At 39.9% G+C, this 24,358-nt stretch overlaps 1 protein-coding gene across 12 annotated transcripts in view, besides 1 other annotated feature; it reads left to right on the forward strand.

Annotated features, from left to right (window-relative positions):
* PBX3 (PBX homeobox 3) overlaps positions 1-24,358 on the forward strand; it is a 220,005-nt gene that overhangs the window by 191,995 nt on the left and 3,652 nt on the right. For 4 of the 12 annotated variants that reach the window (NM_001411009.1, XM_011518755.3, XM_047423445.1 and 1 more), the window contains 4 exons: positions 10,011-10,073; positions 21,317-21,482; positions 22,735-22,847; positions 23,645-23,734. In NM_001411009.1, coding sequence (NP_001397938.1) covers positions 10,011-10,073; positions 21,317-21,482; positions 22,735-22,847; positions 23,645-23,734 — 432 coding nt within the window. Of the gene's footprint in view, positions 1-10,010; positions 10,074-21,316; positions 21,483-22,734; positions 22,848-23,644; positions 23,809-24,358 lie in introns of those variants that run through there. The other 8 variants (NR_024122.2, NM_006195.6, NM_001134778.2 and 5 more) reach the window with 4 other exon arrangements.
* Positions 11,771-12,286: an enhancer, noted in NCBI's record as "OCT4-NANOG-H3K27ac hESC enhancer chr9:128713417-128713932 (GRCh37/hg19 assembly coordinates)". NCBI's record gives its function as "activates a minimal SCP1, AML or CMV promoter by ChIP-STARR-seq in naive and primed H9 embryonic stem cells {active_cell/tissue: H9 hESC(naive and primed)}" and the evidence as "EXISTENCE:reporter gene assay evidence [ECO:0000049][PMID:30033119]".

Genomic DNA, 24,358 nt, shown 5'->3' on the forward strand with positions numbered 1-24,358 from the left:
TATTAGGAATCAGGAAAATATGATTAAAAATTGCAGTATTTTTATATTTCAAACTTATATTTCCTAGATTGGCACATTCTGCTACCAAGAATGTGTAGCAGTAGGAGCCCTTATAATATTGGTGGTAGGGATGTAAATTGATATAGCCACTTTGGAAAACTTCTGACATTATTTTATAAATTTGAACATGCATATACCATTCAACCCACAATTTCTAGAAGACCTCTTGTCTGTATTTCAGGAAACACTGGTAAGAACATTCATAGTAACATTGTTTGAAATGGCAAAAAATTTGAAACAAACCATTTGTCCACGGACTGGAGAAATGGATAAATATGCTGTGTTATAATCCCACAATGGAGCACTATTCAGCAATGGAAAAAGAATGATCTACAAGTATCAATTCATGTTGAGTGAAAAATGCAAATTGGAGAATACACGTAACATAACATTTTTAGGAAGTTTAAAACCAAGCAAGCTAAACAGCATATTGTCAGGGGAGACATATATGTGGTTAAACATAAAGGAAAGAAAGGCAATGATAAAATTAAAAAAGGGCCGGGTGTGGTGGCTCACGCCTGTAATCCCAGCACTTTGGGAGGCCAGGAGTTTGAGACCAGCCTGACCAACATGGAGAAACCCCGTCTCTACTAAAAATACAAAAAGTAGCCGAGTGTGATGGTGCATGCATGTAATCCCACCTATTCGGGAGGCTGAGGCAGGAGAATTGCTTGAATCCAGGAGGTGGAAGTTGTGGGGTGAGCCAAGATCGTGCCATTGCACTCCAGCCTGGGCAACAAGAGCAAAACTCCGTCTCAAAAAAAAAAAAGAAGAAAAAGAATCCAATGAGATGGGATCAAGAAGGAACAATCAAGGAGTTTCAGTATTACTAACAGTCTTTCTTAATTTTAGTGGCAGGTTTACAGAGATTAATTTAATTATTATGCATTACAAACCTGCATATATAAGGCAAGGAAGTCTCATGTCAGTTATTAAATCTAAGTAACAGAATTTAAAAAGACTGTTTCCATTCGTTTAATAAACATTTATTGAATAATGCTGATTATGTGCCAAATACTGTGCTAGGGATGAAAGAGACATCAGTGAACTTAACCAGACAGACCCATGTCCTACCTGATAGAAATGTGTACACATACTCACCAAAAGATATGTATAGGAATATCCTTAGTAACAGTATTTGTAATAGCCAAAACTAGAAACAATGCAAACGTCCATCAAGAGGAAAATAGGTAAACCAGTATGGTATATTTATGTATATTTGGAATGTTATTTAACAATGAGAATGAATGAACTATAACTATATGTAACTACATAATGCTAAGTAAAAGAAGTGCTTGATTTCATTTATAAAAAATGGAAAAACTTGATTTCATTTATAAAAAATAGAAAAACAAGAGAAATTAACCTTGGGGGTTAGAAATCAGATTAATAGTTATTTTTGGGGGAATGGTGATTGGAAGGAGGAAGAACTATTTCTTGATCTAAGTGTTAGTTCCATGGGTATGTTCACTTTATGAAAATTCATTAAACTCTATACCTATGATGTGTGGCCCTTTTTTGTATATTTTTATTTTATTTGACTAAAAAGTTTACTTTCATAACAAAAACAAGCCTGCCTTCATGGAACTTACATTTTTGTGGGAGTATACATATAAGTAAACAAGACAGTCAGTTACAAAGTGATAGTTGCTCTTGACAAATGAAGGAGGGAAGTGGTTAGAGGATGCAATTTTTAATAGGGTGGTAAAGAAAGCCCCTCCTGAGGAAGTATCTTTTGGTTAGTTTGAAGGAGATGAAGGACAAGTCATGTGGATAATCAGTGAGGAACATTCTAGCAGAGGGAACAGCAAGTACGGAGGCCCTGAGGTAGAAGTGCCCTGAGCAAGGGAGCAAGTAGTAGGAGATGAAGTTAAAGATGCTGGGGACCAAATAAATGGTTCATGGGCCTTCTAGGCCATGGTGATGACTTGGGCTTTCACTGTGAGATGGGGAACTGAGGAGTGACATGGATCTGACTTAAGTTTTATAGGATCACCATGGCAGCTGTACTGACATTAGACCCTGGGAGGCAAGGGAAAGCAGAGCTATCAGTTGGGGTACACTTGAGTGTTCACTTAATTGAGTATTTGTGATAGAAATGATGAGATGTGACTGGGTTCTGGATAAATTGTGAAGGTACAGGGTTTCCTGATAGGTTGGATGTAGAATGTGTGAGAAAGAGATTTGCTAAACCAGAATTTGAAATTTCTGATTTCTTGACTTGCTTTGATTAAGTAAGCAAAAGGGAGTTCCTCTTTTACCTAACACCCTGAAAATTGACAAAAGAAGAAACTATTTCACATGTCATATGCATTGAGAATCATACTTAAATTGTCACATACTCTTAATTAGTAGAGCAGATATTAATTTACTTTTTGGAATAGAGCTAATTTACATTGATTATTCAAGTTACTAAGCTGTAAAAAACTTCATCGTTCTCCTAATTCCAATTTTGAATTTGAGTAACTGGCTGTATTTTCTCTGCTAGGTGTTTTTAGAATGAAAAATGTTAACTTATTCTTCATTTCTACTGTAGTTGAAATGTACTGTAAAGAAAGGATTGATTTAAAAACAAAAATGAGAACCAGAAATGGTATTTATTCACTCAACCAACATATTTTAGAGCTCTTAAAGAGGCAAATAAGACCTGCTTTTATAATAGTCTAATATAAATAACATCACAATCTAACCCATACAGATGAGGAAACTGAAGTTCAGAGAAGTTAAGTGATTTGACAAGGGTCACAAGCCTTAGTGAGTAGGGGACTTGGGGATTTTTACACAGATATTCTTAATAAAAGGGGAGAAACTGAAGTCTTACTTTTTTTCTTGCAAGAGGCAGTGTGATTCATTCATCCCCAGGGCCCAGGCTGCAGAGTGCTGGTTTGTGAGGCACGGACCTTGGATAATATCACTAGGGCTGCATCATTTTCCCGCTAAGCTACTTTAGAGACTCTGGGCTAGTTAGTAGTCTGAGGTCTCTTTACTCATTAAACTACTTATTCCAAAGCAGTGAATATTCAGTAAGCTAATTAAAATTTGTAAGTAAGATTTCCTTATTAAAAAAACTATTAAAATAAGAAGAAGCCCGTTAAAATAATAATTAGAGCAGGAAAAAAGAAGATGACTATCAAATTACAGTACTTTTTTTCAGCTATACATAAAGGCCTTTTCAGTTGCTTTGGCAGTAGACAGAAGGCAGAAGTAGATTCCTACTGCAAGTATGCAGTTGGTAAACCAGAAACAAGTTGAAGGAAAAGGCAGCTATTTTGTTAAAACGGTTCTTTCACATGTCTTAAAAGAAGGCTACAGACCCTCTGTTCTAAAAGCTCTGATTGTGTATCCCAGTGGAGGTGGGACATCATTAAACAGTGCGCAGAGAATAAAAGAGCAGGTTGTAAAAAATGGGAGCTTTGAGGATGCTATAGCATGAAGTACAGATGAGGCATATCTGCAAGATTTAAAGAAAACAGGGAAGCTTCTGATTTTTTTGTTGCTGTTGTTCTCTACAAACAATCAGTACCATGATTGGTGTGGTGCTTAAAGCTTGCTCCAGTGATGTCAGGTATTATATTTATTTTAGAATTGACTATTTTGAGGAAATCTCTAACACTCAGTTGATACGATACCCAAACAAGGATAAAGAGACAATTTTCAGGCTGGGCACAGTGGCTCACACCTGTAATCCCAGTGCTTTGGGAGGCTGAGGCGGGTGGATCGCCTGAGCTCAGGAGTTCAAGACCACCTGGGCAACCTCGTCTCTACTAAAATACAAAAAATTAGCCGGGCGTGGTGGCACACGCCTGTAGTCCCAGCTACTCGGGAGGCTGAGGGATGAGAATCACTTGAGCCTAGAGGTGGAGGTTGCAGTGAGCCAAGATCATGCCATTGCACTCCAGCTTGGGCTGCAGAGTGAGACTGTCTCAAAAAAAAAAAAAAAAAAAAAAAAAAAAAAAAAAAAAAAAAAAAAAAGAAAGGAGAGAGAATTTGCAGCTTAGATTTAGGGTTTTTGAGTTTCCCTATACCTGGAAGAAGTCATAATCAGAACTGTGGTTCCTCCATTTTTGTCCCCTTTGCCTTCTTTTACCTATTCCTTCTCTTCTTCTTTCCAATTGAGTATTCTTATCAGTTTTTCTCATGCTAGTCTCAGCACTGTGTCTAACCTTTCCGCTGCCTTGCTTCCATGAGGCGTTTGAGGCTAATAGGCCAATATATAAGCCAGGGTCCCAGCAGAAAACAGATGTCACACTCAAACTGGAATAATTGGAGGACACTTTATAAGTGAGGTAAAATGACTTGCTCAAGGTCACTAAGCAAGTGACTATTTACAATAGTGTGGGCAGAGTGTAGGGAAACCACAAAGGATAATACTAGTGATTGGTTCTGTTACCCACTTGGCCTGAAGAGATGAGGGAAGGGTCAGTAGATCTCAAGACAGAGGAGGTGTGTGGAGAAGGCCAGTGACTGAGACCTGAAAAAAGGCAGCCTTATAGTGCAGGAGTCAGGGGAACAAATACTGTGACCTCACTCTTCTCCCTTCCCATCTGCCGCCAGTGCCTACTATTGGCCAGAAGCCTGAGGGCACCCAGGGCAGCCTCCTGGGGCCCATGACAGGGTAGAGAGTGGATAGGGAGGAGTGAACAGAAGATAGACAATGTAGTCCAAAGGGTGAAGATACCTGGTCAGAACAGGCGCCTTGCTCAAGCCTCCTGGCTTCCCACTTCTGTTGATTCTGTGATGTTTGCATCCAGAAACCTTCTCCAGAGATGCTCTTGGGCTTTCCTTGTTTCTTCTCTTTTGATTTCTCTCCCAATTCTTCTGTCAGCTATGTGGAGAACACATTTTTCTAAAATAAGTGTGGGTTTTGAGAGTAGAAACTACAGTTTAAATAAGTTAATTTGATCTAGCCAAAGGTACTTACCAGGATTTTTGGCTATTTTCTTAATTTGCTCAATAGGTACTTAGTGCCTACTATATGTCAGGCACTATGCCTGGAACTGTGGCAAAGAAAGGTCAGTAAGATAGGGTTCTTCTCCCCAAGAAATACTGAATTTGTTGGGGGAAACAGACAGATGTGTTACTGACAGAATATAAAAGTTACCTGAAGAAGCACACAGGCACAAATGGATGCCATGTGTGGAATATAGTACAAAGAGGGGTTTACTTTCTATTGAGAGGATCAGGAAAGACCTTCTAGAGAAGATGATGTGTAGAACCTGGAGAAGGATGAATAAGACTTTGGGAGAAAGGATATTCTAAGCAGAGGAAACTCAGAAGCAAAAAACAGATATGTTAGGAGAACAGTTTAATAAGTCTGGAGCCTGTGTTATTATGTGGGGGGTGGGGGATTTTATTATAAGACTTAAGGCTACAGACTGTGAAGACTCAGACAAGCCTGAACTAAAACCCCAACTCCTCCCCAGTTTATTAGCTCAGTGACCTTGGGCAAGTCATTTTACCTCACTGTGCCTCCTTTTCTCAAGTGTGTAGTTGGGATAAAAATAGCATGTACTGGCTGGGCATGGTGGCTCACACCTGTAATCCCAGCACTTTGGGAAGCTGAGGCGGGCGGATTGCTTGAGGTCAGGAGTTCAATACCAGTCTGGCCAACATGGTGAAACCCTCTCTCTACTAAAAATACAAAAAATTAGCTGGGCATGGTGGCGCATGCCGGTGGTTCTAGCTACTCAGGAGGCTGAGGCAGGAGAATTGCTTGAATCCAGGAGGCGGAGTTTGCAGTGAGCCGAGATTATGCCAGTGCACTCCAGCCTGGGCAGAAGAGTGAGGCTCTGTCTCAAAAAGAAAAAAAAAAAAATAGCATGTACTTCCTAGGGTTGTGGGAGTTTCAGTAAGATAAAGCACGTGTAAAGCACCTAGCAGAGTGCCTATCACAGAGTAAGTGAAGATATAATAGTAATTATTGTTACGCAGTTTCTCCTGCTTGGAATTGTTTATCCCTGCCCCCTGCCAAACACATAGAGATGTCTTATTAATTTCTACTCCTTCAAAGCTCACTTCAAATGTCAGCTCTTCAAGAAGGCTTTCCTTGATACCTCTAGTTCCTATCCTCCATTGTATATTCTCATAACTTCTTTTCCCCATGATTGTAACTGAACAATGATTTGTTAAATGCTGTTCCCCTGATAGATGGTAAACTCGATTTTGGCCAGAACTGCTATCTTATTCACCCTTATATTCTCAAGGCCTAGCACAGTGTGTCCAGCACATAGACATTTACTGAAGATGATGATATTATTAACTGATACAGGAAACACATAAGGAAAAGCTGTTTTGATGGAGGGGACATTAAAGCTTGGCAGCAGTTATGCTAGGTTCACATTGCCTTCAGATCTGTTGGGAAATGTTCAGTTTGGAAATATAACTCAGAAGAAAGGTCAAGGTTAAAGATACAGCTTGGAGGTCATTCACTTAAGTTCCTAGTTGAGGCCCTGGGAATGGATGAAGTTGCCCAGGGAACCTGCAGATAATAAGAAAATAAGGCTGGGGGAAACGACATTTCCCTGATTCCATTGCCAATTCTAAGGTAATAGTTAAGAGGCTGAGAATTTAAGCAGGGCTTTAGACCCCTTTACTTTTCAGGGGTAAAAAGGTATGAATTGGTGTCTAGACCTGCTAAGGGATGCTTCCTCTTTCCCTTTGCTTTGGGTTAGGACTTAAACTGCTTAGGGCTACATCTTAGCAGTGAGTGCATCAGAAATAGACCCTAATGGAAGATCTGCTATTCTGCCTTAGAATACCTTATTCCTTGACATTGGATTGCTGCTATTCATAGGTGCTTGGAGAAATCAAATACAAAATTTTTTTTTGGAGAAAGATAGCAGCATCCTAGGCTTCAAGTTGTTTCTATAAACAAAACAAAACAAAAACAAACAAAAAACTGGGCACACAATCACAGAAAGAAACAGATATACAAGACAAAATGACAATGTTTCTGGTACAGAAACCAGCAGAAACAACAGACAATAGAAACAGACTCACAACAGTATAGGAAATAAAGGAATCTGATATGGACTATAAAATAACTATGCTTAATATCTATAATGGGGGAAAGACAAACTGGACAATTCTGTCAGGGAATTGGAAACCATAAAAAAAGGGTCAAATAAAAATGTTAGAATCAAAATTAAGAACCCAGTGGATTGGGTTAAAAGCAGATTAGACATTGCTGAAAGGAAAATCAGTGGACTGGAAGAAGAGTCCCAAGAAAATAATGATATTGAAGAATACAGAGACAATAGGATAGAAAAATTGGGAGACAGAGAATAGGAGACATAGAGGATACAGTAAGAAAGTCTAATATAAATGTGATTGAGCCCCAGAAGCAAATGTGAGAATGGGTCAGAAGCAGTATTTTAAATGTAATGGCTGAAAACTTTCCAAAACCCATAGCAAATTCCAAGCCCTAGACTCATGAAGAACACCAGTCCCCAAACAGAATAAATAAATAGGAATCCACACTAAACATGGTTGAAACAAAAGCAGCTAGAGGGAAAAGTAAGTCTGCCTCCAATAAAACAACAATTCAATGACCACTGATTTCTTAACTGAAACAATAAAGACATAATACAATGGAGTGATATCTTTAAAGTGATGAATCAAATTAAATGTCCGCCTAGAATTCTGTACCTGCCAAAAATGTCCTTTGATAGTGGAGGTGAAATAAAGACATTTTCAGTCAAAAATTGAAATAATTTTTCTCATTTTCTCTCTAAAGGAAATACAAAAAATGTGTTTTCAGACAGAAATAAAAAGATTACAGATACAGGGGAGGAGATACAGGAAGGAGTAGAAAAGCAAAGAAAAGGATAAATATGTATGTAAATCTAAGTGAATAATACTGTTTAAAATAAAGATAATGTCTTATTTTGCTTATAGTATGTATAGAATTAAAATACACAACAATAATGCCTTATAAGTTATGAGAGGAGAGTAAGTGTTCTAAGACTCTTACGTTTTCCGGGAAAGATGGCAAAAGTACCAATTAGTGAAAAAGTACCAATTAATGTTAGAATTGAATAGTTGAGAAAGTATAAATCTCTAGGGTAGTTACTTAAAGAAAAGTAAAGCATATATAGCTTTCAAACTAATAAAGAGAGACAGAGACATAGAATAATTTTTTTTAAAATAAGCAGTCTAAAAGATGGCAAGGAAAAAAGAGAAAATGCATAGTAAGTGGGACAAATAGGAAGTAAATAGGAAGTACTTAGTAAGATGATAGGTTTATACCTAAATATGTCAGTAATCACATTAAAGTAAATGAATTTAATACTCTAAGTAATAGAGTCAGGATTTACAAATGAAACTTAGTTATGTGTTCTCTAAGAGACATATGTAAAATATAAGGACATAGAAAGTATAACAGTATGAAAAAATTTAAACAATAGCCAAAAGAAAGTTTGTGTTGATCTAATAATATCAGATTAAGAGCACTTCAAGGAAGCTCAAAAAACATAAAGCAAAACTTACACAATTTCAAAGAAAAATAGACAAATTCAAAATCATTATAAGAGATTTTCACACTTTTCTGTAACTGAACAAGCAGACACATACATATAAGTCAGTAAGGACATAGAACAGTGCTTCTTAAACTGTAGCATACATAAATAAGAATGATCTGGAGAGCTGTTAGAATATAGATTTCTGGGCCCCATTCCCAGAGGTTCTGATTCAAAGTGTCTGCAGTGGGGCTGGCAATTTACAGCTCCCAGATTAATGCTGATGCTGATGGTTCTGGAACTACACTTTGGAGTAGCACAGATATAGAAGATTTTAACACCACAATTAGCAGACTTGACCTAATGGACATACATAGAACACTACATCCAACAACTGCAGAATACACATTCTAATTTTAAGCACTTATAGAACAATTTGAAAGTTGACTATATTCTGGGACATAAAGTACTTCTCAGTAAATAAATTTTAAACAGTTTAAAACAGAGTATGTTTTCTGACTACAGTGGAATCAAACTAGAAATGACAAACAGATAACTAGAAAGTAACAGATAACCAAATAAAATTCCATATGTTTAGAAATTAAGCAATATAACCCTTGGGTTAATGAAGAAATCACAATAGAAATTAGAAAATAACTGAATGACAGTGAAACGATAACATACCAAAACTCATGGGATACAGCTAAAGCCATGTTTAGAAAGAAATTTATAGCTTTATATATAATATATACATGAATGTGTATGTGGTATGTGTATGTATGTATATACTGTACATATCTGTATATATGTGCAGGTATATACGTGTGTGTGTGTGTGTATATATATATATATACATGCACACAGTAAGTCCATTTCTAAGAATTTAATCTACAAACACATTATCTATGTACAATGTTTCTTGCTCCAGTCTTTATAATAGCAAAAGACTGAAAATTCAATTCAATCTCTGCCTCCTGGGCTCAAGTGATCCTCCCAACTCAGCCTCCCAAGTAGCTAGGACTACAGACATGAGCCACCATGCCTGGCTAATTTTTGTATTTTTTGTAGAGATGGGGTTTCACCACATTGCCCTGGCTGGTCTTAAACTCCTAAGCTCAAGCAATCTTCCTGCCTCTCAAAGTGCTGGAATTACAGGCATGAGCCACCGCACCCATCCAGTGCTGTCCTTTCCTATCATGTATTTTGATAAACTGGTACTTTAACTTCAGATGACTGTACGTTCTGTGTAGGAAGGCAGAGAAGTCACTCAGACTCTGCTCCAGCACTATTTATTAACAGTGTGACCTTGAGCAAATTATTTAATGAGTCCATTTTTTATCTATAAAATGAGAATAATGATAATTTGCTCAGGGGATTCAGGGGTTAATGAAATCATGTATGAAGAGTGCCTAGTACAGGGCCTGGCATCTCAGGAATGTTCATTAAATGCCAGTTGTCATCCATTCAACCTACATTTTCTTGCCGGGCATACAGAGTCTTGTAAAGGATCCAAAAGAAAGAGGGAGCAAAGGTTCTGACATCCAGCCAACTAGCGTGGTAAGTATTCACAGGCTCCCTGAAGGTATGAGCCAGGGAGGGGCATGAGGGTGTGTCTGTTCTTAGTCTCTGATGGACCTATACTGTGTATATATATATATAGTATTCTTTACTCCAAAAATGCATGAGATTCATTTTTGATGAGAATTAATTATATATGTTGAAAGCTTACTATGCTTTTTGAGGATAGGTATACCCACTTTAACAATTAAATGAAAGTTTTCTGGATTTTTGAAAAGAAAAGAAGACTGCAGTGGGTATGTGGTAAGGAGTAGTGGTTGAATAAATAAGCGTTTCCCTTAAACAAGAGGCGTGACTATAGGATTTCTTTTCATAGGACACTGAATGCATGTTGATGTTCTTATTTACAGGGATTAGATTTACGTGAAACTTGTCAGGACAAAAAGTCTGGCCCATCATTATTTGGAGTGCTCTGTGCATTCATTCTGGGATGCGGCTGTGTTGCCTGGGAGATGGCTCCACCTTTCAGTGTAGCTGATGGGAGGCATTTCCACAGTTGTGATGTCAGTGTTTCAAAATCTGTCAAAGAGGCTCTCCATAGAGCCTAGGAAGGAAAACTATTGAGTTGTATACCTACCACATTTTTTTTTCTAATGAGAAAAATAATTTTAAAGAAAAAAAAACTCTTAACTGTAAATGTTGTCTGTGGTAATTTAGAGGCACCCCTCAGCACGTGTTTTAGGGAGCTGAACAGTGTCATCCATTTTCTATGTACTGTGGCCGCAAGGCTGACGTTTTATACACTTTTGCAGATGAACCTCTTTGTGAATGTCATGAGCAGTTATCAGTCTATCATGCAGAGTAGAAAGGGCAAAGCTGAACTGTAAGGGCGTCAGCACATTATGGCAATAAAATTTTTCACAGCCTCAGATAAAAAAATACTGTACTTGACAAGTGAATCTGTTTTAAATTATTTCAAATGCTATGGAAACTGAATTTCTATTTGTTCGGTTCTCCCATTAAAAGTGGGATGTTTTCCAAAAGTTGGTTTTCAAGTCAGTTGTTATAAATTTGCAACTTCTTTTTTTTTTTTTTGAGACTGAGTCTTGCTCTGTTGCCCAGGCTGGAGGTGCAGTGGCCTGATTTTGGCTCACTGCAACCTCCACCTCCCAGGTTCTCCCACAGTTCTCCTGCCTCAGCCTCCTGAGTAGCTGGGACTACAGGTATGCACCACCATGCCTGGCTAATTTTTGTATTTTTAGTAGAGACGGGGTTTCACCATGTTGGCCAGGCTGGTCTCAAACTCCTGACCTCAGGTGATCCACCCACTTCTGCTTCCCAAAGTGTTGGGATTACAGGTGTGAGCCACTGCGCCTGGCCAAATTTGCAACTTATTTTCTTAGAAGAGAAAAAAAATTGTGTGGATTCTTGGGCTAGCCCACATTTTAACCATGAAGGAGCTGAAATATTTTGCATTGAAAAGGTAGAATATAGGTTTGTAGACCTCACCACTTAATACAATGAAAAAGAAATGAAATTGAGTAAAGAATAATTTTCGAAACTTGTTTTAAGTATTAAGAGAAAACAAGTTTTATCAGGTAAGACATAATGAAACGGGCTTTGTAACCTTAGGCAAGTTACATAAACTTTCTGACCTCAGTTTTTGCTTCAGTAGAATTGGGTTTTTGTAACAGTTAAATGAGATAATACATGCAAAGTTCCTAGTACAGAGCTGACTCATAATGAGCCCTTTGCAAATGGCTACTGTTTAAATACAGGCACAAGTGGCATTGGAATTCAAGTTTCCTGCAAATTCTAGGTCCAGTGCATTGTCCTGCTTAGTTGGGGCAGGGATGAGAAGGGATAGAGGTAGTGCCGTCAGGTACTTGTGCAGAACAATAGCCCAGCAGGAGTGTGGCAGACAGGCGCTCTTGGTCTTCTGTGGTAGGAATTTTATTCTGGTCAGGTATGCAGGAGTTCACCTCCTTTTCCCTTCTTGCTGCTGCCTGTTCCCTCTTGCCAGTGTCTCACCAGCACTGGGAGCAGGGATCAGCTTGCCCAGAACTTGAAGCTCCTGGGAAAAGGGGTCCTGACCTTAGGCACTGTAGGAAGCAAGCATGGTGTGTATGCCATTGGCCTTCAGAGGGTTTTGTTGTTGCTGATTTGTTTTAAGAAAAGGGGAAACTAACATTTACTGAGTGCCTGGTACATCCCTGGCACAGTCCTATATATTTAACATGCCATCTCATTTAATGTTCACAACAGCCCCATGAGAAGGAGATATCATTATCCCACCTTGTAGACCAGGAAAGGAGAACCTTAGATGGCATGACTTGTGTAAGGTAACATAGGCAGGAAATTGCAGAGCCAAGATTTACACACAGGTCCGTTTGGCTCTCAAACCCATTTATCCAGCTGTCCTCTGAGTTCTTAGAGGAATGCACACAGTGTGTGTATCCAGCGTGCCCAGCCTTTCTGTCCTTATAGAAACTGTATCAAACCCATACCTTCTGGAGGGAGAAGACTGGTGTGAAATTTAGAATTTATTAACACCATTAACTTTAAAAAATTGAACAGTATCTGGCTTCCATCCCTCACTTCAAATTGAATCACATAATGGGGATGAAAACATTGATTAGGGAGAAACTGTTTGTTAGAGGTAAAATTGTTTACCATGTAAATATGCTGCCATGTTCCATTATACATGACTTAGCATTTCAACATTTCATAATCTGTTACATTTAATTAGGCACAGTACATAAAGTATGCATCACAAGTAAACATGGGGAAACACAATGGAAAATTTTTCTAAGATTTGTGCTTCATAAATTTTCAGTTTGTTAATTTCAATAATGATGTTTTAGTGTCAGCTGCTTCTTTCCAAACAAGTGCAGATCCTCTCCCTGACGCAGTTTATGCACAGAAGCAACACCAAGGATGAACTACAAAGTTCTGCACTTCTGCCTCTTGGAGGCGGCCTTTAAGTAATAATTTTTCTCTTTTATTTAATGTTGTTATTAACACGGTCAATAAATGTAGTGACAAAGTTTGAAACATAAGATACAATTAAAGCTAATTAATAAATTGGCTTTCAGTGACTGTAGAGACATTATAGATGGTTTAGCTTTTTATTTTGAACATGGAGTTTTTCTTAAATGCAAAGCTGCTTGGGAAATTTCAGTGGCTTGAGATTTATAAAGTGTTTGATTTTAATTATTTTAAGAATTCTCAAACCTATCAACCATGCCCTTCAGATAAGAGTACAGGAATGGGATTGGTCACTCGTATAGCTCTGGGTCCCAGCACAAGGCCTGGCACTTAAACTCATAAAGATTGTTAAGTGACTCTCCAGTGCTTTTTCTGTTGTTTTTAATTTATTCATTAAAATGTATATTTTTCTAATTTAAAAAATCCTAATGCTTGCTGATCTGAAAACAATTTGGATGATACCTGAAAACACAAGAAACACAAAAACAGAAATTACTTCTAAACCCCACTGTACATGATAGTCACATGTTAGTACATTTTTCCTGTGCTTGTGTATATACCTACATCTATGTATGTCAGTGTTTGAGTATTTTTACCAAAATAAAAAAAAAAAGACTCATGGTGTATGAAAAGAAAAAAATGCCCTTTCTTCCTTTTTTATAGTCTATAATGAATATTTTCCCCTTGATTTGTCAGTGAATATTTCCCCTCAACATGATCTTTAATAAATGATCATATTCCATTATACAAAGATGTGCTATAAATTTAATCTCTCTCTCTCTCTTTCTATTAATAAGTAGGACTAAGGGGCCAGGCATGGTGGGGCAGTAGGACTGAGGGGCCAGCACTTTGGGAGATAGGTGGATCACTTCAGCTCAGGAGTTCAAGAATACCCTGGGCAATATAGCAAAACCCTGTTTCTACAAAATACATAAAAATTAGCCGGCCGTAGTGATGGGCACCTGTAGTCGCAGCTACTCAGGAGGCTGAGGTGGGAGGATCTCTTGAGCCTGGGAGGTTGAGGCTGTGGTGAGCCGTGATTGTGCCACTGCACTTCAGCCTGCGCAACAGAGCGAGACCCTGTCTCAAAAAAAAAAAAAGTAGGACTGTGGTGGATATCTTTGTACATTTATCTGTAAATATTTTCTCAAGATAAGTTTTAGTAATCTGGGCAAAGGGTATGCTAATGTTTGCTGGCTTACTCTCCAGAAAGGTTATGCTAAATAATAAGTAAACTGTATCTACCTCCCTTAGGTTTATTTCTTTAATCTGAACTTAAAAGATTCTATAGCTGACAGATTTGTTGTCTGTGTAGCTACAAAAGGTCACTGTGACACATGGAAGTTGTTACCCGAATGAGTCCTGTTTTTAGCCCAAAAAAAGTCTTTACGCATACCCAGTATGAGGGGTTCCCATGCTGTGCTCACATAGAGAAGTTAAAATGTAACCAGAGTTAGCCTGAACACTTAAGGCAGCACTCTGCAAACTTGGGGGGACGCATACTGTACAGAGGAGCTGAAGGTTTTCCAAAGAGGACTCAGGTATGCACGGTTTCATGGTTTTCACTGGCCAGCTTTCCTTACGTATATGTGTACGCCTTCCTAAATCCACCTGCCCCAGAAAGTGGCTGTGATGGAAGCATTGTGTTGGTTTTCTTTTCCCTTCCTGCCCTTTTCTTACTTTATGAAAGAAAGGGATACTCCCACCTGGTTCATTGCCCCGAAGTATGAGACCCTCTTGGGTGCCCAACAAGAGACATTATGAAATATTGGTGATAACCAAACCTCCTTTAATCAGCACTGTACAACCACCCCACTCCCAATTAAGAAATGCATGTATGATGAAACCTACATTTGATGGTCAAAATAAGTATATTTTTATTTATCAAAATAAGTATTTGTATTGCTTTGATTAGTTTTAAACTAACTATAATGATGGTTTAGTCCAGAAGGAAATATTAAATATGTAGAGCCTTATAATTACAGGAAATAAAAACAATTTTAAATTTTCAATTTCCATATATTCCTTTTGTAGAGCATAAAAGTATATTGCATTAGGCTAATATGGGAGAGAAATGAACTAGAAATACACTTTCAAGAACAAAAAGAAGAGCATAAAATTTTAGACTTGAAGAGCAAGTTTATGTTTTTTTGTTTGTTTGTTTTGAGACAGAGTCTCACTCTGTTGACAGGCTGGAGTGCAGTGGCGCAATCTTGGCTCACTGCAGTCTCTGCCTCCCGGGTTCAAGCGATTCCCCTGCCCCAGCCTCCTGAGTAGCTGGGACTACAGGCGTGCACCACCACGCCCGGCTAATTTTTTGTATTTTAGTAGTAGAGACAAGGTTTCACCATATTGGCCAGGATGGTCTCAATCTCCTGACCTCGTGATCCGCCCGCCTCGGCCTCCCAAAGTGCTGGGATTACAGGGGTGAGCCACCATGCCTGGCCTATGTATTTTTTAAATGGATAATGGGTATCAAACTGCTGTGCTATTTATATTTGGTTGGATACATTTTAAAGAATAGTGTTACAGTTTTATTTTAAGATGTCAACATTTATGACATACTGGAATAACACTGTTTACAACTATGTAGACTTATGAAAAATTGTAGATGCCAACTTAGAAAATGTACAAGGAAGGAAAAATGTGTGAGAGGGTCCATGATTTTTTAAAATTAATTTAGGGGGAATTTTGCACAGCAAAAATGTGCAGACCAATGACCCTGGACAGGCACATGGATGGGAGGGCAGCCTCACTGGAACCCTTTCTGAACTCCACTGCTATAGATCTCAGGCTCCGTTTCAGCTCTGTCCCCTGCACTCAGCAGCAACACCTGGGGAGAACCTGCGAGCCCCCCTTCAGGCTTTCCCTTGCCCAGAGCTTCTCCCGCTTCCTCTTCCTCAGCCAGAACCCACCAGCCCTTCAGGTGCCTTGCTCCTGCTCCTCCCCAGGTACCAATGCCTTCCCCATCTCACTGCCCGCTCCTTCCCCAACAGAAATGTTCTCTCAGATGCTACCTTTCCTCTCCTTTTTCTGTAGAATAGGTTTCTCTTCCCTCTGTCACTATAAAAAGGGGGTTTAGAGGTTAAGAAGGGAAAAGGGAATTAAGTTACAGAAGAGATCAAAAGTTTCTGGGATCTCGGAGTGGTCCAGGGAGAGGGAGGCAGGCTTGCATTTTTGGCTTATTTGTGGCCACACAAGCTATTGGAGTTTTCTGCTTCTGAATTGTGGAGTTTCAATAAAAGCACTATGGAATTGAATTGGATTGAAACGGAGGTCCCGTTCAAGTTTGACCTTGCCTCAGAAGCCTCCTCTGATTTCTCAGACCTGCTGGGATATCTCTTCCTCCAAATCCTGTTGCTTTTAGAGTCTCCGCTCTACGGTTCAGCATGAGATCATCACCATCTTGCAAGTTTTGCTAATTATTTTGAGTGGATAGCATTGCTTTTATAACCAGATTGTAAAGTCCAGGCAGGCAGGGGCCATGTGTTTATTTTTTCATTTCCCCACAGCACCTGGTACAGTATTGACTATAGCAGATGCTCGGTAAGCATTTCGCAGTTGGTTATTTAAAAAAGAAAAGCTGACGGGGCGTCCTGGGGCTGAATTCTAGATCCATCCCACTTTGCATCCCACTTTGGGCAACTTGTCTGTGGCCTGGATCTCTCGTTTCTTCCTTGATAAAACATGAGTGATAGTAATAGCTAATAGTTACCAGGTAAATGGTATGTGCCAAAGCCATTAATGCACCCAACAGTTCTGTGAGGAAGATACTACTATTTATATTGTTATTCTCATTTTATAGGAAAGGAAACACTAAAATAACTAAAACAATCTGTCCAAAGTCACTCAGCTTAGTAAATAGCAGAGCGTGAATTTGAAACCGGATTCTGAGTCCAAAGCACGTAACCATTATGTGATACTTCCCACATCTGACTCAACTCCCTCCAAGTCAGAGATTCTAAGGAGATAATGAGTAAAAGCTTTTTGAAGAAGGTAAAAAAGCTAGGTAAAAGGTGAATCTAGTTATTGTATTATGTGGAAAGCATTTTTACTTTTAAAAGCAATTGTCAATCTATAGCTGAATTGCGTGGGGGAAATACACGGTTGTAGTGTATGCGAGAGACCAGATCCCTTTCAGGCTGCTCCTTGGCCTTGCAGAAAAGTTCCAGAAAATCAGCGGACTGCATAATGTGCACTACTCATTCCCCTAATCACCAGAGGCTTGGTCTGGTGGCTGATAACAATGAACATCAGTAGAAGAGGGAGAGTACTTGTGCTTTTATTCTCATTTTTAATTGATCTTAAAATTCTTCCATGGCCCTTTGCCTTGGGCACAATCCAGAGTCATGAATCCTTGATATGCGGCTCAACAGAGAGGCACAGGACAGCGTAGTCCCTTTCCCTTCACCAGTTTCCTGCCTGCCTTTCTATTCTGGGACCACTGTACAGACCATTCCAGTTCAGAGATGGAGCAAGCTCTGCTCGCCTTCATGCACTGCGCATGCAGCCTGGCCCCACTGTGAGCTCTGTGCAGGAGGGGCCCCATGACCTGCAGCCTTTGAGGCTTCCTACTGGGTGAGCTTAGGGCTTCTTTTGCAACTAATTATATCCATCTGTTTTTAAAAGGTGAAAAAAAAATCCTGAATTTAGGTGTCGATTGATACATTAATTACCCCATCTCAGTTGCAGCAGTGTGGTCTTAATAGCTGATTGCTGCAATACCCAAATCTGTAATATCAGAATGTGATGTGCATATTTTAATTTGAGAAATAGTTTAACATTTTTAGATATTCATTTAGATGTGGTTATGCAGGTTAAACATAACGAATGATCACTGCTTCTTTCATTGCTTCCAATTAAACCTTGCTTGTTAGTTTAACCTCTAGGTAATCCCATCAAACAATTGATGTCAAGGAAACAGTGCCCACAGTAGCTTCGGATGAGTGGCCATTAATTTTAATTGCCTTGATATTAAAGATTAAGAAGTATTGGGACTAGCAGAATAAAAACGATCTGATGTCAAGCAAATCCACTTGCTAAAGCTTCCCCAGGCTGCTGGTGATATTAAAATTTTACTGTGAGAATTAAATAAACCTTTATTAGTGATGACTGTTGTTTGATTGGTCCAGGGGTATGCATAAACAGAGGATTCTTACATATCTAGAGATGAGACCTTCGATGGTACAGAGATTCCTCAATTATGAAACTGTTAATAAAGCTGTAATCTGATTTTCCAGGCTAGGTTTCATTAATGTATTATAGCTTCTCTGATTGTCAAGGTAATATTAACTACAAAGTACTGAATCCAACAGAGAATTGTTTGGAAGAAGAGAATTCTAAGATGGGCCTTTGTTGCTAAATTCAGAGTTGGGGAATTTTCATTAATTATGCTTAAGAAATACCAAATTCCCTCTCAACCAAGACTATCCTCCTTTGCACTATAGATATGTTCAATATTTAACTCTTTCTAAGGCCTGACAGTCTTAGTCAGAAACGCTAGAGTGATAATTATGTATTAAAAGAGCTTTTTGCAAGCCAACTCTAGGTCTGTCTCCTGAGCTGAGAGCATGCATTGGGAAACATGAGGTAAGGTCAAAGAGAACATGCTTTAAGAAGCGTAATCAGAACCCATACCTTTATAGTCCTTTTCCAATCTTGATTTAGAACTTTTCTGTTTTTAGAATCACATAATTCTGGTATGGATTCTAATGGTCACTGAGGATTTGTCCTGGTGCAGAAATTCCTCCCAAATATCTGTCTCCATCCTGCTCAAGGCCTGGGCACCACACCTGCATCGTCTCTGGCTTGTCCCTCTCCACTGACCCCAGAGCTAGTCAGTGGCCAGATTCTGTCTGTTCCTCCTCCATAATATGTGCCCTCTCCACTCCTACTGCTCTGCCTGGCTCAGGCCCTCATGGCTTCCTCGCTTATATACTCTCCTAACTTCCTCCTGTTGCCACATCCTATGCAGTTATAATGCACACCTGCTGTGAGCATATGGGGCTCAAGGAAGGGAAGGCCAAGAAGGCTAATAGTAGGATGGAGAGGTCCCTTGGGGCTGAGCCTGAAGGCCTAATGTTGTGATAGTCTAGATGTTGGAAGTAGGACCAATATGTGGAAGGGAAAGGGAACCAGATTGTAGTTCAGAATAAAGAGAACTATATACCCATTAGGACTATCCAACAATGGAGGCGGGGATATTGTGAGGTAGTGAGTACCACATCTCTGGAGATGGAGAGATCAGGACCACAAAGAAAATATAGAGGAGGTGGCACAGGCTTAGAGGACACCCGACTTCCTCTTAGACCCATTGAATTGGAAGTTGTGGCAGAACATTTATATGGAAATCTCTTTAAAAATGAGAACTCACTATAAATCTGGGAGTCATCCACACAGAGAGGATATTTGAAATTTTGAATATGGATAAGGTTGCTCTAGGTGCAAGAGAGAAGAAGGCCAAGAGCTGAGTCCTGGAGAAAACTCACTGTCTTCCTCTCTCTCTCTCTGTCTGTCTCTCTCATGTATCAGGGAAGAGCAGATGTTGGAGGAGAAGGAGTATAATGTCACATACACCATGTAAGAGCCTGCTCTAGGCAAGAGGGGTGGTAATTACAAGTATCAGACACTGCTGAGAGGTCAGACTAGTCAGAGAGACAAGGCCATTGGATTTGGGACTGGTGTCATGCCAGTATAACCACTCCCATCTACCACCTAGCCCTTGAAATTGTTCACATTAAAATGAGAAAATGTCTGCAAGGTGCTCTGCATAATGGTCATTCACCAAATGATAGTTATTAGAGCTACTGTATTTGATATGAAGAAAAGAAGGGATACATACAGTCTTCTAGGGGGAAAAAATGATGGTAGAACAGAAACAGCTAGGAAGTGCTGATCTGTAGCACATTTACTTCCTGATGGGCTTTGGCTTGTTTCTGTCTGACGAACCTATGCTCATGGTTGCTGCATGGGTCCTCGGCAAGTATGCCTGCATGTGTATATGTGCACATGTGTGCACTCCATAATCCCCAGGATGGACAGCATATGGGCAGCAGCAAGGCCAATGTTGTCTTCCTCACATGGCTCCCTTGCCAGGGCTCTCTGCTCCTTCCAGAAGGATGAGTGCCATAGGTTGAAGAATGGGAATTCTATTTCCAAACCAATTAAAGACTTGGCAGAGATGGTCAAAAAGGGTGCCCACAGTGTAAATTGGGTTGGAAGGCTTCAAACTACATACTACTCCTTACGTCTCTTCAGGGCCCCTATGAATAGCTGTTAAGTATAATACCTTCAGGGTAGAACAGTGACCCCACCCAGCCTGATATCACAGCAATATGCCCCTTTGACAGGATTATTAAGAAATTATTGAAAAGTATTTTTAAACTGTTGCTTTAATAAAAGAGAGGTCAGATCCTTTTATATAGTGTGTGGGTATACTTTCTTATAAATTGCCATGTGGCTTTTAGCTTCTTTATATAGCTCAATTACAGGTGCCTGAATACATTGTAACTCTGAGCCATGATTCTGGGGCTGAGCTCTGCTCTCCTTGACGTGTGATGAAATCTGCCTATTGCCAAGATCCTTTGTAGAAATCTCTCTTCCATTTGCACCGGCTGACATCATAAGAAGTTTGCAAAAGAAAGAAATATATTCCACCTGATGACATTAGAGTTGCTCCTCTGTGTTTACATTTGACCTGGTTGGAATTACTTGAGTTTTCAAGTTGTGACCTTCCCACATGTTAACTGGCAGAGCTTGAGCAGCCATCTTGGCAGACATGCAGTATTTTCTGAGGCAAAAGACAAAGGGTTTTTTCATCCATTATTAATTGATGTTACTCTTTTCAGCAGACCAAACATGATTCTACTATACAGCTGCCAAAATTGTTCTAGACCCAAAAAAGAAGAATAAGTCGTTCATGTTCAAGTATTTCTTATTATTTACCTAACTTAGCAAATATTTCCTTCAGCTTTTCAGCCTGATTTTGGGGGCCTGACTATTTATATACTAATCGGTATATAGCAGTTGGATATCTTTTATGAGCAGCGCTCCCTGCCGTTTTGGTATTACTGTGGCCAACTCTAAGAAAGCAGCGTTATTCCAAAAGAATGTGAGAGTTTTGCCAAAAGAGAAAATAACCCCCAAAACCATTATGCATGATCCATAGGATGTGAGGTTGCAGGCTAGGAATTGTGTGTCTCCCAAGGTATTGCCTTGGTGTCCAGCAGGTATTATTGGAATTTGATTACTTCTTCCTCTCTTCCCCTTCACCTCCATGTCCCTGCAATTTGTAGGTATCCAATTGGTTTGGCAACAAACGAATCAGGTACAAGAAGAACATTGGCAAGTTTCAGGAAGAAGCCAACCTCTATGCTGCAAAGACGGCCGTGACAGCTGCACACGCAGTAGCAGCAGCTGTGCAGAACAACCAGACCAATTCGCCCACCACACCAAATTCCGGTGCGTACTGGGGGCTCGCTCCCCAACTGGCCCAGGCAGCCTTATGCCACAATGCCCTGTCCCACAGGCCAGGAAACAAGAGCCATACTGAGGACAGAGTGGACTTAAAAAGGAAGATTTATGTTCAAATGCAGGCTTGTTCTTGAGATGGGTGAATGAGTGGAAGGTCAGAGCCTGTAAACCCACTCTTCACAGTGAATGCCACTCACTAGTAGATTATGGAAGTTTTACAATTAGTAGTGGCTTTCAGTTCAGTAATTAGGCAGAGTGCTATCGCTCATGACTATTTTAGCTATTTCTTTCCAGATACCACTTTAGGGTCAGTAGTGGTCTGTGGAGAGTGAAATAGCAGAAGTGGGAAATGCAGCAGTTGCTGTGTGTGAGGAAGCTGGAATGCTGGAGGGAAGTGCAGCAGTGCTTTCTGCCCAGCACCGCTGTCCTTTCTCTGCCTTTCAGCAGCACTGTCTGAGCGGGGCTGACGGCATGCTCAGCAGGTGGCTAGCTGTGAGGGTTATGGTGCTTAATACATGCATGCAAGATTCTTGGATCCTCGTCCGGTACATTTTGGCTGCATTTTATGTGACGTTTGTGAGGGGGTTAGAAATACTTTAAAATTTCAGGGAACTTGAATAACAATGAAAGATGTGCAGCTAGTCCAAACAGATGGACTTCAGTAGCAATTCCAGGGGCGTTTCTGAGAAGGTCTCTTAGCTATATCTTTAGAAGTTCAGAAAGTAGGGGGGTTTTTGTTTGTTTTGTCTTGTCTCCTCACCCCCCAGTTCTTTTTAATGGCACATAAAAACAGATGAAAGGAGAGGGAGGTATATGCATAGCGAAGAAAGAGCTCCTGGAAAAGTCTCTTCTCTGGGTGGCTGTCCACTGTGACAGCCATGTTGACAAGCTCGTGTAATGACTAAATCCTGGAGATGAGTGGAAACAAGGGGAAGGGTCCAGGCCAGCTGCTGGGTGTTTTGGTTTATTTTTTCTTTTTAATTTATTTTGATTTGTCTCTTTGTTTTTGCTTTTGTTTTTTAAGTTTGGGCTTCCCCACTGATGGGACTTCTCCTAGATGTGGAGTGACTCACAGGACCCAACTCTCTGGAGTTACTCTCCATCCTCTTAGATCTGGAAATGCTTTATGTTGTGCACAGCCTTTCCCTTCTGTACTTTTTCTCATCTCCCTGCCTCTAGGTCTTTGAGGATTATGTGTGTAGCTCTCTGTTATTCAGCTACTTAACTCTTTCCTTTCCAGGTTCTTCTGGTTCTTTTAACCTCCCAAATTCTGGGGACATGTTCATGAACATGCAGAGTCTGAATGGGGATTCTTACCAAGGGTCCCAAGTCGGAGCCAATGTGCAATCACAGGTAGGAGAAATGCCCCAGTGGGGCCTTTCTAGCAGGGTAGGGTTTGGGCTCAAAACTCCTTCCTCTGACCCCATGGAAGTGGTCTACACATCCATGCAGAACCTGTGCTGGGTGCTTCCAACCAGGACCCATCTGCCCCACCATTTAATTTAATGAGAAGTCAAGTGAACAGTGACTTGTGATGATTCAAACCTGATAAACTTTGTGAATGCATTCGGCTCTGGCTTGAGCTCATGGAGAGGGGTTGGGTGCATCTTACTTTTGTCACAAAATAGAACAGAAAAATTGAGTGTGCCAGTGTGTATATGGTTTAAGAACATGTTGCTGTTTCATTTCTCAAGTCAGAGTACAAAAACCTGAGTTCTTAAATTATAACTCTATAATTTCTACTCTTTTCTTGTCCTCTTATTTGAGAACAGAACTATTCATATAGTTTTTATACATCTAGATGTATGTGTATGAGACATAGAGAAAGTGAGAGAAAGAGAGTTGAGATAATTCCATATACACAATTCTAAGTAGGCTTTCACCCACAGCCACATCCATTTGGTTGCTGTAGATGGAAAGTTGCATTGCCATGAAGATGTTATTGTTTGGCTGGCATGAAAAACAAAGATTTGTGAGTTTAAATATGCAAAGAATGGTTGAAATTCTGCCAGTCACATTTGATTGATAAATTTGTCTTTCATTGAAGATGTTAAACCCTTGTGGCACACATAATTCAAATTATTTCCTTTTGTAAGTGATGACGTTTTAATAGATTTGGGATGATGAATTTTGTTTTGTCTCACTTCTAGGTGGATACCCTCCGTCATGTTATCAATCAGACGGGAGGCTACAGTGATGGCCTTGGAGGAAATTCACTGTACAGTCCACATAATTTAAATGTGAGTACTCTGGGGAGTCAGCTGTAGGAGAACAGTGTCAGGTAAACAGTGACTAATAAAGAAATTAATAGCCATTTGACCTGGCTTCTCATCTTCTTGGCAGGTAGGGAAGGCAGCGTCTTTGCTGCACTTTTATTTTAAGAACCTAAATGCTTGATGCCGTCTAGATACCCTTAGAAGTCCTCATAGATGCCCAGAAATGGCTGGTGTCCTGTCATCAGCAGGGACTTAAGCATCAGCCCATTAAGACGCCATTTCCTACCATCAGTGCTGTGCTCCAGGGAGACGGTAGAAAACAGGTCATTTATCTTAGAACCAGGCAGCGGGAAAAATTCCCAAACAGAACTCAGGTGAAGGTGGTAAGTTTGGAGAATCCCAGGCAGACCAGCAAACCAAGCTAAACAAATAATTGTGTTATTAAAAGCATCTTGCTGTATTGTCAATGTGGGATGCACAACATATTTGACAATTTTAATTATGGAGGAAATAATTTTAACTTTTGTAACTACTTCACTACAACTTTACCTTTCCCTCCACTGACATGGATGGAAAATGGCAAAACACACAGCTCTGGAAAAGGGGGAAGGGGGCAGGGGAGCAGGTCATCGTGGTGGTGCTGCGGGG

The sequence above is a fragment of the Homo sapiens genome, chromosome 9 (assembly GCF_000001405.40).
Source record: "Homo sapiens chromosome 9, GRCh38.p14 Primary Assembly".
Lineage (NCBI taxonomy): Eukaryota > Metazoa > Chordata > Mammalia > Primates > Hominidae > Homo > Homo sapiens.